This window comes from Homo sapiens, chromosome X, assembly GCF_000001405.40.
Source record: "Homo sapiens chromosome X, GRCh38.p14 Primary Assembly".
NCBI lineage: Eukaryota > Metazoa > Chordata > Mammalia > Primates > Hominidae > Homo > Homo sapiens.
The window spans coordinates 74,582,405-74,598,678 of NC_000023.11; the positions used below are offsets into that span (position 1 = coordinate 74,582,405).

Genomic DNA, 16,274 nt, shown 5'->3' on the forward strand with positions numbered 1-16,274 from the left:
TTTTAGTAGAGGCGGGGTTTCACCATGCTGGCCAGGATGGTCTCGATCTCTTGACCTCGTGGTCTGCCTGCCTCGGCCTCCCAAAGTGATGGGATTACAGATGTGAGCCACTGCACCCGGCAGGGCATAGTTTTTAAAAAGCTGCAATTTGAATCTTTCTAGTCATTTCATATTTCAAATTGTCATAATTGGGGCCAAGAGCACACGTAATAAGGGGCTGAGATGACCATTTAACAATTCCCCAATTTTTGTTTTTGTTTTCACTGTTAAAGAGGAATTTTTATTAAAGCAAGAATTTTATAATCCAAATTACGTTTCCTTGCTCAGTTATTAATTCTGTTACTTAAAACAGAAGTGACATTTTGAGCTATTCCACAGTAAAGAATTACAAAATTAAAGAAAGGAATGTTTTATATTTTTGTACTTTGCTGAAAATTCTTTTTCCCAGGGTCTATAAAACACTAATTTGTTTCTATATTTTACTATTTTTTTTGTGTTTTTTGTTTTTCAATCAATTAATCTAGGACTAGCATTATGTTTGCTAGACCTGGCATTTGCTCGGTACATACGGTTCAGTTTCCTTCTTTTATATTTTGATATTTTTTTCCATATTTAAGTTTTTCGATGTTTAGATATTTTTCTTTGGTGAAGCACAAGTTTCTTTTCGTGGTCCCTGATCAATTTTAAACAGTTGGAACACCGGTGGCACTGTTAACTGCTTTCTGGGCAGTCTCTTTAGCTTGGTGGGCTTGTAGTACAGCTACAGCTTCATCAACCTTAGAATGGAGTGACTCTGGAGACTTGAGCATATGAAGAAGTTCTGAATTATCAATCTCCAACAACACGCCAGTGATTTTACCGGCAAGAGTAGGGTGCATGGCTTGAATAAGAGGAAACAGCCATTCACCCAACATTTGCTTTTGCTCTTGAGGGGCAGATGCCAACATGGAAACAGTCAAAGGTTCCTGACCTTGTACATGAATAGCAGGCTGTTGCACTGTAACTTGTGGCTGTGCATTAAGATGTTGCTGAGGATTGCAAACTCCCGCAGCATATTTATACTGTGGAACGGTGCGGACAGCAGGAGTAGCTGCAGCAGCTGTAGCTGCAAGACGTGGACCCATTGTCTGTGTTGATGAATTCACCAAATTTTTATTCCAGTCTATTTTGAGACTTCTGGAAATAAAACACCTTGATACCGTTTGCCCTAGGGCTGATTACAAGGTACACTTAAACTGCTAAAATGATAGTTCATGTTATTCATAGTGCTAAGGTGTATCTGGTAATGCCCAGTGCTTTACTGAATTTACAGTATATTACCATTAATCCTCCAAAAAACAAAAAAACAAAAAACAATTTGCGGCCGGGCGTGGTGGCTCACGCCTGTAATACCACCACTGTGGGAGGCCGAGACGGGCAGATCATGGGATCAGGGGTTCAAGACCAGCCTGGCCAACATGGTGAAACCCTGTCTCTACTAAAAATAGAAAAATTAGCTGGGCGTGGTGGCGGGCGCCTGTAATCCCAGCTACTCGGGAGGCTGAGGCAGGAGAATCGTTTGAACCCAGAGGCAGAGGTTGCAGTGAGCCAAGATCGCACCATTGCACTCCAGCCTGGGCGACAGGGCGAGAATCCATCTCAAACAAACAAAAAAATAAACAAAAACCAATTTGGCCTTTTTTTTTCTTGGCAAACCAGCCAAAACTGATGTTTTTCCTAAGAAATCACACCTCATAAGCAATCTAGTCTAGGGCTTGGGATAAATACTAAGAAACAAATTAGAAGTCATATAGTAGTGGGATTAAGAGCACAAGGAAGATGACTGCATCAAAGATGATTGCAAATAATCTGCTACTTACTATGTGACCTGGGCAAATTACCAAACATCTGTATCTCAGCTGCATTACCTATAAAATGGGTGGTATACTTTCACCTCACAGTCACTGTGATGATTAAATAATTTATATAGAATACTTAATACAATGCCTGACAGCAACCAGAAAAGTTTAGCTAATTTAATTATAGTTAGTAATCCATGCAAGGCCTTATAGTTAAATCTTGTCTAAATTCAAAGACCTCAAAGAAACTGGACCCTTGCTTTCTTATTTTTTAAAATGACCATTAAGAGTTCAGTTTATAATCCACCCAGATTTATCGAATCCTTTCTTCTAGGTATCTGGGGGTTTTTTTGAGACAAGGTTTTGCTCTGTAACCCAGGCTGGAGTGCATCAGCATGATCATGGCTCACTGCAGCCTTGACCTCCCGGGCTCAAGTGATTCTACCACCTCAGCCTCCCAAGTAGCTGGGACCACAGCTGTGTACCACCACACCTGGCTAATTTATGTCTGGATCCTTTTCACTGACCTAAGATGCCTGTGCTTTGGCTTCATTGTCTAGAGCACTAACTTTTTGATGGTGGTATTGAGTTTCAAATAATAAAATCATGAATGACACTAAACTTAAAACCTTGGGAAGGTCATGAGTTGAAGAGCTGACTACATCAAAACTATCCTGAGAAACCGAGTTATGATGCCAATGACAGATAGCTCTGCAGGCACCAGAGGAAATGAAACTATAATACAATACACCAGGTGTCACAATGTGACGATTTACTTGAAACAAGGACATCTTAGTGGCTTAAGCAATATGTTTAAGAGATTAAGATAGAAATGGAAGACAGAAGTACAAGCACACGTGCACACCTACAAGTTTTTGTATATATACAGGGCAAGCAAGGGAGTGGTCAGAGCAATGGCGAGAATACAAGAAACAGCAAAGATGCGCCTACTTAAAATGTCATTCACATAAATCTTTCCAGGATTCTTGTATTGGAATATAATCTTTTATTTTACCACTCAACGATTAAGCCATTCAACTACACAACACAGATAAAACGGAAGTTATAACATATAAACCAGTACCTGCCCACACTCATAGCAGTGAGGGGAATAAAAATCAAGGTTGCACTGTAATTCCATGACTCTAAAAATCAAGTCTATTTGACATTGGTTTGAAGCAACAGAACCTTTATAGCAGATTCCCCTTTTTAAAGAAAAACCCAAGGAGAGATGATCAAGCACAAATGATCACTTCATGCATTTTATTGATAGTCTATATTTTAAATCTGCAGTATGACATCTTACATAGGGAAAAAAGCTTCTTCCTAAAAGATAACTATTAATAATCAAACCAGCTTTAATATGATTGACCTTTCAAGGTCTTGTTTTGCTTTAAACAAGTTAACTTTTAGCAGTTGTAAAGCACTGTACAAAAGAAAACTGTGTACATTCTCAAAATTTAATACAGGGCTTCCCAACCAGGAGTCTGCTGGATAGGTATCGGAGAAGGGTGTTATGTTCAGGTTTAAATTGAAAGAAAATGAGAAACCAGATAAAGCAAGCCAACCAAATTAACTTCACTTTGTGCTCCTCTCTGCTTTTTTGAGTCTCTCCCGAAGGTCAGGAAGCCCTGGTATAACAATCACTTTAGTCTTTACAGAACATACATCTATGTGCTTTGTGACCAAAGACATAAAGGCAGCCTTTGTTACTGTTCCCCCTCCAAACCCCTTCAGGTTCTTATAAGCTTCAGAAAGCTTTCCAAGATTGCTGCCCTGTTCTTTGTATGAATCCAAGTAAACAACTATACCAAAGCAGCTCTTCCTGGGAGAAGATAAAACAGGCACAGATACATCACCAGGCCAACTGCGTACCTACTCAACTTGATACCTGATCACATGGCCCTACATCCTTAAAAGCAGCACCAGGGACAAATGGAGCTATCAAGAGGTAAAATCCAAACACTGGACAGTTAAAACACATACAAACCAGTTAAAAGAACATTAGTAATGGGGCACTAAATAGAGTTAAGGCTGGACAGCTGGTTCAACCATACCTTGGTATTGAAATAATTCTGCAAGATGAGGAACTTACAGAGGAACCTTGAAAGAGGCACCATGATATGACAGGGTTCACTTTCACTGCATGTCTTTAAGATATCTACTACTCAGCCCAACTGACCATAAAGCAGCTCGTGGAACTTTAATAAACAAATCCTAATAAAAATAAATAATTTTTAGAATGTTGGAGGGTATGCCTATTTCCTTCAGATCTGATCAAGACATGAGAATTATAAAACCGATACAAACTGTTCTGTGATTATCACTTGACAGTTCTAACACTGTTATACAGCTCAATTCTATGCTGCAGCCTTTAAGATACAAACTGGGGTTACATGAGATCACTCACTTGTTAGAGAAGTATCAGATAAATTTTAGAACTGTTCCAGTTAAGGAAAATAATTCTTAATTTCATAATCCTAAAACTTTTTCTAAAAATTTTTGCAGGGCAGGTACTTAACTCATAGCTGTTTTAGTTGATTAAAAAATCTGATTTAAAAATAAGTAAGGCTGGGCGCAGTGGCTCACGCCTATAATCCCAGCACTTTGGGAGAATGAGGCAGGCAAATTGCCTGAGCCCAGGAGTTCAAGAACAGCCTGGACAACATGGCGAAACCCCATCTCCACAAAAAATTAGCCAGGCAATGTGGTGCATGCCTGTAGTCCCAGCTACTTGGAAGGCTGAGGTGGGAGAATCACCTGAGCCCAGGAAGTCAAGGCTGCAGTGAGCTGTGACCATGCCACTGCACTCCAGCCTGGGTGACAGAGCAAGACCCTGTCTCAAAAAGTAAAAAATAAAATAAAATAAAAATAAATAAGTGACATACTAGTTCCTCGGATCTTTTACTTTTTTCCAAATGAAGTATGCTGTCAATTTACATTTTTCATGTTTTTTCAAAAGCACACAATTTACTAGTTAACTCAATGAATTACAATACTGTTATTGAATATAAACATACTGAAGAATTAAAGGGAAAAAAACACACCTGACACTTTAACATGTGCCTTAACAATCTTGCATACTAAGGTACAGAATACTTCAGAAAGTAACAATTAGCATAGTCTTATAAGACTAGGAGAATAAAAGTGCCCTGCAAACATGGCTTCTATGTACTTAATATGGTAAAACATGTGACAGGGAAGCCTGTAAGGTAAAACTTAAAAAAAAAATCAAATAAGGCAGATTATAATTTTTTTTGTTCGCAAAAGAACAAAGGAGAAAAGGGGAAGAATAAAAACATTCTCCATCTTTAAAAGAAAAAATATTAACAACCATAAGGTGCCACTGTATTTTAGCAAGCTGTAAAAATGGCCTTTTAAGAGGAATTTTGCAATCTTTACCTCCCTATCATTTGGGTATTTTGGGAACTGACCGAAAGTCATGGCTGATGCTTCACCCATTTCATGTCATGGACGCCTGGGAAGCAGGTAGTTAAATACAAAGCATATTATGTGATAACCCTTCATAAATATAATTTGAGACACTGACACTAGGAGAGGATACTTGGCACAGAAAAGACATGTTATGGGGCGGGGGACACATTACTTGAGGCAACACTTACAGCCAATCAGTTTCCTAATCTTAAGGTTTGGATGAATTCCAATCGTTTTTAAAAACTGTGTGTGTACACACACATATTTTATTTCCTGGTGCTAAAGGTCTTATAAACTGTACAATTACCTACATTCCAACACTAATGTGAACACTTTTCTCAATCCCCACCTCCATTAACACCATTAAGGTGTAACTAACATGTTCTTTTCAGAGCAAATATTCCAAATTAACAAGGTGGCTCATCTTCTATAGTGTTGATACAAAGTCAGCAAACTTTTAACTTAACTTGCTCAATTTTGTTTCTAATAGTACTAATAAACCTCAACTTTGGCTGGACATGGTGGCTCACGCCTGTAATCCCAGCATTTTCGGAGGCCGAGGCAGGCACATCACTTGAGGTCAGGAGTTCAAGACCAGCCTGGCCAACACGGTGAAGTCCCCATCTCTACTAAAAATATAAAAACTAGCCAGGTGTGGTGGCATGCGCCTGTAATCCCAGCTACTCGAGAGGCTGAGACAGGAGAATTGCTTGAACCCAGGAGGCAGAGGTTGCAGTGAGCCGAGATCGCTCCATTGCACTTCATCCTGGGCAACCAAGTAAGACTCTGTCTCAAAAAAACAAAACAAAACAAAACAAAACAAAAAAACCTCAACTTTGTCAGCTGCTCAGAGTTAAAACAATTCAAATGTTTCAGACTAGAAGTGAGTTTTTAAAAACATCTGAAATATTCAAGAAAATTTGGGTTTTGGTACTTTTCCTTATGCTCTGAACAATGTGAACTCCCAACATTGTTTATCCTTGTTCCTCTTACTGCATGAAGTTCAAACTAGGTCTTAAAGACAACTTTTCTGTACTTAAGAAAAAGTGCAAAGATAGAAAATGAAATGTAAGGTGTTTTGCAAGAAATGCTCCCTCGAGAATGGTGTTTGGATGTGGGTGGGGGGAAAACGATTTTTGTTCTCCATTGTAATCTGACACCTACGAATGACCTTGTCTTCAATGTCCACAACACTAGTAAGCATGTAATAATCACGGACATCGCAAGATTAAAAATTAAGTAGCAAATTCCACTAAAACACTTGTATTCATTCTATACAATCGAATGGAAATCCGTGAGTGCTACTGAAAAAGGTGTTCACATGCACATGTCCAATATGTGCATTCCACTGAAGGCTAAAAGCTTAAAATTCTATTTCCAGTGTTTATGAATAGCTTCAATATCTACATTCATAGCCAGCATTCTGCTTGAGTTACCTCTTACTTTAATACTTCACAAATGAGTAAGTACGTCTTGGGAGATTAGGAAGGTACCTGTTGTCAATAACTTTCTCTTATGCTTAGAATGTGCTGCAATTGTTTTTAAACTATTTAAAATGAACACCCCTATAATAATGAAACACTTTATGCCAAGAAGAAAATTGATTTGTTTTTAGCCAATCAAGACTACCCTGCAGATCTGAAAACTGTAGATTACATCCTTAGGAAAGGAGAAAAGGAGGCTCACAAATATAAAGGAATCCTGACTTTTACACGGACAAATTTTTAAAAAGATAAAATGTATTACATAAGCGCCATAAACAGTGAAATCTGCTTATATTAAAAAAAATAAGTGAAGCTTTGTTTGGACATTATTTCCTTGCAAGAGCAGTACATATCCTTAGTAAACAACTACCATATTTACAAGTTAATTTCCTTGATACTTAGATAGGATTGAAAGCCAGAAGAAATCATGGAAGAGTGAGCTTTGAAATAATCTTTACAGCTAAGTTGGTAACAGTGAAGGTACCCAGACAATTCCTAAAGCAGACTTGTTTATTTTGTAGAGTATTTGACTACGTCTGGGTAGCTAGCTTGCTTTGATAAAGGCCAAGGACAAGTTCAATCCCTATTTTGGCCTGTTAAAGCTTTTCCCAGAAGAACAAATATCTGCTCCATAGTCATTCTAATCCTAACCCCAGCTAGTCTCAAAAAAGAAATTAGGCAAGAAGACTGGGGTTATCATGAAGTTACTCTTACTACTAAGAAACCAACATAAAGTGCATGTCCATAGATAGCGAGTCAGCAGTCTCATTTTCATATATGGGCAGCACAATTAAAATTTGAATTTCAAATAACCCAACATGACTTTCAACAAAGGATAAAAATCCCTTAATCTTCAACTGGTCTTTAAATTTGAGATGTTAGGACTGTGTTAGAGATAGTAATGAAATATGATCAAGTGTGCACTGGTACCTTAAATGACAAATCTCAAAAACAACACAAATTCGAGACTTTCCTATTAACACACACATGTGTACCAACTGCAATTCATATGCTAAAAGTGGTTTTATAGTCTCTTTCCTCCATTTTTTCATTTTTGAGGAGCAGACTTGTAAATTTAACTTGTGCTAGGTAGTAGTGGTTTGTTTTTCTTAAACCAAAACTCTGCCAAACTTGCTGATCTTCTGCTTCATCTACTCAGGTAGAATACCAGGTCAAGCTGCTGCTGTGGCTGCTCTCACCATATGAAACCAGTTTGTGTCTGCATTATTACTGTCTTCAGGAAAACTTTAAATTCTTCAGTTTTCTTTACTCCTCCCATATTTCACTTCCTGCCTAAATCCAAGTTAAATTATACAATTTCCACTGGTCTTCAACACGGTTTAATTCTGCACTGTCCTTTCCTTTGCATGTCACAGTAGCTGTTCACACATTAAATATTATAGATATGTTCTGCTCTTGACATCTACACACTTACAAAAGCAGCTTTGTACTTTGTTTGGTGTGTTTGTTACTATGTTGGCTCACAAAAAGCAGTTTTCTCAGTTCTAAGCATGGTACTTTACAATTTTTAATGCATTCATACAACAGTGCATTGGAAAAGTACTGAGCCTCTACAAAATAGCTTTACATTTTTAAACAAATGAATGTGATTTTTTTTCACTTACACAAGCATAGGCTTTTTAATATTTCCACAAGATAAATATCTCAATTAAACTATAAGCTCACTCTACAGTGTGCCACAGTGATGGGCTTAGGAGACAGTTATACACTTAGAAGATCCTAACCTTAGTGTTATTTACACTGACATGTCCAGTATCACCAAGTCTGAAAGGTGAACAAACAATACTCAGAATGTGGCTGAATTTGTGTTAACTAATAACTGGGAATGATATAGCTTTAATCACTTATGAAACACATACTGTAACTTAGTCTAAACTGGTAATTTCCTTTGCTCCTCTCTTATGGTGTGGGAAAATTTAAAGATCAACATGAAAAAGGAGCCATTGCTAAGGCAGATCTTTTAAGATAACAAAGGAAAAATTGACAAGTGTATATGATAAATTATCAGTAACAGTGATGCTACCAATTTAACTGGTACGGAAATCAGATTTTTAGGTCCTATAACGTGGCTTTTAAAATATTTCCTTTTATTCTGGAACAAAAACTGGAGAAAGGACAATGATTCCTTCAGAAAGCAATGACTCAATTCAGGTTGTTACTTTACATTTAAGTACCACTCAAAAAGTGGACATAAAAGCAAGTGATTCCTGTTTGCCCATCACTATATCAGCTACATAGCTGAGAGTTCAGATCTTAATTACACAACACTTTCTCTGTTACCAGAAGCTAAGACTGCTCTGCGACAAATAGGACAGGTAGAATTCTCAGATAACCAGCGATCGATGCAGTGGACATGGTACTCATGGGAACAAGGTAGTTTACGAAGTTTGTTGCCTTCTGTATATTCTGTAATGCAAACACTACAGGTTTTTAATGCATCATTTTCACCAAAACTTCTCATTGCCAAGTTGTCAATCTGTTCTTTGGTGAGTCCTCTAGGTTGGTCATCATCATCCTCATTTAAGAGGAAAAACTGAGCCAGGCTAAGGAAGGGCAAAGAGCCACTTTCATCAAATGTGACTGGGGCCCTATGTCGACCCTCTCGCCTGGCACCTGATGAGCCTGATGATGAGCTTCCTTCATTACTGCCTTCAAATAAATCTGAGCTAGTTTCTGAACTTTCACCACCGGAACTGGAACTAGGACTGGAACTGGAACTTGAACTGGAACTGGAACTCGAACTGGAACTGGAACTCGAACTGGAACCAGAACTACTACCACCACCAGAACCTCCTCTTCCACTCCGTGACTCTGCCCTTTCCATATTTCGATTTGAGACTGAGCCAGTAGGCTCTGAGTCGCTATCACTGTACATAAAATAGCTTAACTCACCAAAACCTGTCATTATCTGCCTTAACATGGTCTGAATTGCAACAGATGTAGTCTCACTTAAACCAGTATTTAAGATTCTACGAATGGGAATTCTGATGGTACTGACATAGGTTCTCACACCTGCCCGCTCAGAACGTGAAAATGTACGCCTAAAACCTCCTCGTTCACTTTCATAGGTGACAGTGTTGTTTGGTGTCTGAGACCTAGACCGAGTTCTGCTGGCTATGCTATCTCTCTGCCGATATTCTCCAGGACGAACTCTTCTTACTTGAAGATCAAGGACTATGGTTGGAGGTCTCTGTCCTGATCCTGTAGATTCACCACTGGCAGCTGTGTCTGAAGAACCTGCTCCTTGAGAAGCATTTCTTGTTCCAGAAGCTGCAAAAAGACCTCTACTTAGCAACTCAGGCCCAGATATTTGCTGCCTCAATGTCACATGGTGCCGGGTTCTAGAACTTCCCTCCGTCTCATTTACCAAAGGATGTTCAAAAGTCTGAGATGAGATACTATGATGAGATCTTCGTGGAATTTCACTCATTGGATGCAGAGGTGACCTACTTCTTTCAGCTCTTGCTCTGGTTCTCCGATGGTCTGGGCTCCTGCTTCTTGCCCTCCTCTGACCTCTGGTAGGTGGGACCTCTGTTAACGCTTCAGTTGAATTTCGTTCTGATCTAGATGGCCTTGCAGATGTTGATTCAGATCGTGGGTTTTCCACTTGCCTTTGGCTGTTGTTTTCCACATTTTCTCCACTAGAACGTCTTGCAGATGGCTCATTTTCATTCTCTGAATTTTGGCTCCCATTATTACGGTTAACATTTATCTCTAAACTGAATCTGAAATCACCACTGTTTGGATTAGTCCGACTCACTGCTCTCCAAGATTGGTTTCCTCTTTGCCCACTTCTTGTTGTATTTCCAGTTTGTCTGACAGAGTTAAGCCAGTCTATTATAGAGTCACCATTAGACACATCATCTGAAGAGTCTCCTCCTGTTCAAAACAAAGGAGGGGGAGAGGGAGAAAAAGGAACTACTAAAATGAGGACAATCATATAAGTGCTCTGAAACTCTGCATTAAATAACTTAAAAATTCGGAACACATTTCATAATTACAGATTTTTACAAACTATACTGCATAAATTTATAAGGTAAGAAAATTCTAATTCCATTTGAAAAGAGCAAGCTACACTAGAGAAATTTAGAGAATTATTTGATTTTTAAAGGGAATCTGGAGGAAGTCTATTTTCAGTATTTTATCATATACAGAGCCAAGCATACCACTGTGGGATGGTCAGAAGACGTTTTTTCAGTCCTCTGCCAAAATACTAATGTAATCAAACTAGGTAAGGAAACAGTGTTTAACGAACAGTCACATTTAGTTCAAGCTACATTTCTGTCAAATTTTTATTAGTCTACATACTGTGCCTTTGATAACATTTGAGGTTGTTTTAAAATACAGGACTATTTATTGTAGCCATAAGAAAAATACAAACAAGATTTATAGGTTTAAAAGCATTTGAATATTTCTTAATGTTACCAAGGTTTTCAATGGACATGAAGTTAAAGATCAGATCAAATAAGTAGTCTGAACCTTGCATAGCACATATAATGGCATGTTCAAGAACCAAATTATTATCGTAGCCTCTCAGGTTGCACAATCAAAATCCCTACTTGACACTGGGAGGGAAACACCAGACCTGAGGTTAGAGCAGGATTTCTCAACAGTGGTACTACTGACATTTTAAGCCAGTTAATTCTGTGTCATGGGGGCTGTGTTGTGCATTATGGCATGTCAGGATGTTTGGCAGCATTCCTGCCCTCTACACAAATGTCTCCAGACGTTGCTAATGTCCCACATGGGGCAAAATTATATCTCATTAGGAACCACTGGGTTTAGACATTTCTTTTTGCTGGTGAAGAAGTCACATGTTTATAAAGAAGGAATTAAGTAGGAATAAATTTCAATGGAGGTGAAAAACAAACAAACAAACAAAATCACATTTAAATGGGCCATTTCTCACTGTGTTCCAATTAACATAAACATCTCAAAGGTGAGGTAGAAAAAAAATGCTGACATTCTAAGTATCAAGAAAATGTCAGTTTTCTTTTTATGAGCAGTTACTTAGCACCAAATTAATTTGTGCCAAATCTGGATAATCTTTGGCTGACATTTACTATTACAAAGTTCCTATCATCCCATCGTCTATCCACCTCCCCACCAAAACCAAAACATACCTCTATTTTCATCTGAGTTTTGCGGTGGTGGGCCTTCTTTAATTTGCTGTAGTCGTCTCAGCAACTCTTCCTCAGTACTTTCACCTGAAATTTAACACCACAGGGCAAAGATGACATTAGGGGTATGACAATCAAATACTTTATCAGTGACTCACAGTAATCTGACACAAGATGATTAGAAAAAAAATCATATTTTTAAAAGAGAAAACTTTTTCAAACCAAAAAGAAAAACCAAGGAGTAGGTAGGTCCTGGGAAAAATTCACTTCTTTGGAAACATATTAAAAGCAATTTACAAAGTTCTTTTGCATATAACATCTAACTTTGGCTCACGCCTGTACTCCCAGCACTTTGGGAGGCCGAGGCGGGTGGATCACCGGAGGTCAGGAGTTCGAGACCAGCCTGGCCAACATGATGAAACCCCATCTCTACTAAAAATACAAAAATTAGCCAGACATGGTGGCAGGTGCCTGTAATCCCAGCTGCTTAGGAGACTGAGGCAGGAGAATCGCTTGAGCCCAGGAGGCAGAGGTTGCAGTGAGCAGAGACTGCACCACTGCACTCCAGCCTGGGCGAAAGTGCAAGACTCTGCTTAAAAAAAAAAAAAAAAAAAAAAAGGCAAAGGCAATTCTAAGCTGGGCGCACAGTGGTACCACATCTGTAGTGCCAGCTCGTTGGGAGACTCAGGCGGAAGAATCCCTTGAGTCCAGCCTGGGCAACATGAGACCCTGTCTCAAAAATAAATAAGTAAGTAATTTTTAAGAATTGCAGCTTTGAGAGGAGGATATTGTTATCTGCATTTTAAAATTAAGAAACAGACTGAGCGACAGACTGGCTTGCCAGGAGCCACACCAAACAGCAGGGCCAGAACTCCACCTAAAGCATTCTGATTCAAGCCTGGTATTGTTGGCTAAAAACACACTCCCTCTCTTAAAAGTCATGCTAAAACCTTACCTTTTAAAATCTAAGCAATTACTCAAAGGTAAGTAGAATTAAACAGAAATGAAGAGGAAGACAGATACTGACTTTTAACTAGGATCAAATGGGACTTAGTGGGGTAAAAGATAATTAAGCACAAACTTCTAATTGCTATGTTACCCAAGGCTAGCTCTGGAGGATTACAACTGGGACATATTCAGAAAATCAGAGATAACAGAATAAGTCTTTCCTAAAAACTAAGTTCCCATTAGCTATTCCACACTCGGATTCTTATCTAGTAAGTTAGATAAAGCTAACTAAGAAAAAAAAGATTTAGCTCCATTCTTTTCAATTCAGTTCGCTAAAAATTCATAATTCATAAGTTAAAAATCTCTCTGATATAGTGTAATTCCAAACATCAGTAAATATAATCAGGTAATAAATACAGCAATAAATGTCATTCCATATCCCCTATGTTAAATAATATTTCATAAGGGCTAAAGAAATGGATTTTTAAAACAGGTTCAAGCATTTTTTTTTAAACCAGCAACTTACACTTATAAATCCTTAAATATATGTAAGCATACCTGGGGTGCCTAGCAAATTGTTATCTCTCATAAGCCTATAATCTTCTTCACTCAGGTTATTTACAAATTGATAGAAAGCTTCTTCTCGATCCAATCGGTCCATCTGACTTCTGCGCTGTGCTGCAGACTGATCACCACTTCCTTTGTCATTGGAATCTGAGTTTTCCATATTGATGAACAAGTGGAAAATACCTGAAAAGAGAAAAGAGACTAATCTTGAAAATAAAGGTCACTATGTATTCTATACAAGTTTTAATTATGTGAAAATCCAGAATGTAGGTCTAGAGATGGATTTTCAGACCTCAAATGAAATTTCCTAACAAAAACTCCTGAAAAGCACTGTTATATTAAGAGTAGGTCAAGGGTTGGCAAACTACAGCCCTTGAACCAGACAGGGTTGGCGAACTAAAGCCCTTGGGCCAAATCCAGCCATACTGTGGTATTTTTTGTTTTTTGAGATGGAGTCTCGCTCTCTCAACCAGGCTAGAGTGTAGTGGTGCGATCTCAGCTCACTGCAACCTCCACCTCCTGGGTTCAAGTGATTCTCTGCCTCAGCCTCCCGAAGTAGCTGGGACGACAGGCACCTGCCACCACGCCCAGCTAATTTTTGTATTTTTAGTAGAGACAGGGTTTCACCATGTTGGCCCAATCTGGTCTCAACCTCCTGAGCTCAAGTGACCTGCCCTCCTCAGCCTCCCAAAGTGCTGGGATTACAGGCATGAGCCACCGCACCCAGCCTCGTGCTGCATATTTTTATTCTCCTTGCAACCTAAGAATGGTTTTTAGAGACTATCTTGTGACATATGAAAATGCAATGAAATTCACATTTTAGTGTTCATAAAGTTTTATTGGAACGCAGCCATACACATTCATTTACATGTTATCTATGGCTGCTTCTGTGCTATAATGGCAGAGTTGAGCAGTTGTGACAGACTGTATGTGGCACTCCCATTGCTTTGGACTGCTGCTCTGTGCACTCTTAAGTTGCAGTGATGTAGCTATAATGACAGCATTTCAAGTGCCTTCACACTGGACATTAAAAAAAACTGAGTATACACTCATCATCTCAAACAAAGAGAAAAGTGGACTCTGAATGTCACGCTTAAAGGTGCAGCAGAGGATGGGTTTTTCAAAAATCAGATTAGATGGCAAAGAATGCATGATTATGCAAAAAATACTATATACTAAATACAATATATACTGACACTATTAAACACTAGTGACAATATTCCCAATTCACAGGAAAACTACAGTTCAAAAAGTTAGAAAATTTAAAGTGAAATCTCATCACAAAATATTTCTTCACAAAAATAAAAATGAGGCTTCAATCAAAGTAAATTTCCCAGGGGCTCATTTATTGGCTAAACGAGGAAAGCTGTTTATTGATGGTGAGTTAGTGAAATTATGTTTGAGTGCAGAAGCTGAAGAAATGTGTCCAGAGAAAATAAACATAATATTGGACTTTTGGTAAGTATAGTGGTCCAAAAAGCTGGGAATATTGAAAAGCAATGTCACTAATCAACTGAAAAATAAGGTAAATGATGGAGTGGTTTTCTCTTTGGCTCTTGATTTGTTGACAAATGTAACTGATACTACTTAAGTTATTGTTTATTCAAAGAGCCAAGTGTTGATTATTCAAGGAGTTTGAACTGCAGAAGTAGCCCCTATGTGTAGTCTACATGAAATAATCATAGGTGAGAATATTTTCAAAGTTGAGAAAACTAATTCAGCAAAACCTGAAGCAGAATCTCATAATAAGATATGTTACTACTGGAATGGTAAAAATATATATGGAATGGAAAAAGACCTAGTTGGACAAATTTACAAAGTTTATGAAAATGTAAGGTATTTAACGTTTATGGTTATATATTTTATTACTCATCATCAAGTGATCTGAAGAAAATTTCAATCTATCATATTACTGAACCAGTAGCACTAATGATAAACTTCTCTCTTATGAACTCTGGTTTAAGCTCAAGTTCCATGAATTTTTGTCAGAAATTTTGTCTTGCTCTACAACACAACATTTGATGGGCTAATATTGGTAAAGTTTTATTGTGATTTGTTGTGCTCAAGGCAAAGATGGATTTATTTTCTGTGAGAACCGCTCTCAATTACTATTATCAAACAATAAATAGCTTGGAAAATTAGTGTTTCCTGCAGACTTGATAATGTTTCTTAATGAATCCATCCTAAAACAACAAAGCAAAAAATACTTATATATGAAACTTATACTGTGGTAAAGCCATTTCAGCAACAACATTGGTATCACATGTAATGTCAAGCTGTTTTATATACTTCATGTCCTGACAAAGTAATGAGAGCTCCATTCCCACACAAATTTGTAGCACATACATTTTCTGAGCTCAAACTACAGTTCCAGAACTGTTTTGCAGACCCCAATGTAAGCACAAAATAAATTTCCTTATTTCAAAATCCATTTAACTGTGCAACTGAGGAGCTTCCATCTAACCCTCAACTAGAAGTGACATCTCTGCAGTGGTAATATGCCAAAAGGTAAATATTAAAGTCATCTGGCTGGGGTGTGGTGGCTCACACCTGTAATCTCAGCACTTTGGGAGGCCGAGGTGGGAGGATCACTTGAGCCCAGAAGTTCAAGACGAGCTTGGGCAACATAGTGAGACCCCATCTTCATAAAAAATTAAATTAAATTAAAAGATAAAAAATTGCCAGGCGCGGTGGCTCACGCCTGTAATCCCAGCACTTTGGGAGGCTGAGGTGGGCGGATCACGAGGTCAGGAGATAGAGACCATCCTGGCTAACACAGTGAAACCCCACCTGTACTCAAAACACAAAAAAATTAGCTGGGTGTGGTGGCGGGCGCCTGTAGTCCCAGCTACTCGGGAGGC

At 38.4% G+C, this 16,274-nt stretch overlaps 1 protein-coding gene and 1 pseudogene across 2 annotated transcripts in view; both read right to left on the reverse strand.

Moving 5' to 3' along the window:
- PABPC1P3 (poly(A) binding protein cytoplasmic 1 pseudogene 3) lies at positions 262-1,138 on the reverse strand (annotated as a pseudogene).
- Positions 572-16,274, reverse strand: part of RLIM (ring finger protein, LIM domain interacting) — a 31,649-nt gene continuing 15,946 nt past the window's right edge. For both annotated transcript variants that reach the window (NM_016120.4, NM_183353.3), the window contains 3 exons: positions 13,405-13,596; positions 11,902-11,985; positions 572-10,657 (listed from right to left, as the gene is read on the reverse strand). In NM_016120.4, coding sequence (NP_057204.2) covers positions 9,036-10,657; positions 11,902-11,985; positions 13,405-13,573 — 1,875 coding nt within the window. In that variant the 5' untranslated portion in view covers positions 13,574-13,596 and the 3' untranslated portion in view covers positions 572-9,035. The remainder of the gene's footprint in view (positions 10,658-11,901; positions 11,986-13,404; positions 13,597-16,274) is intronic.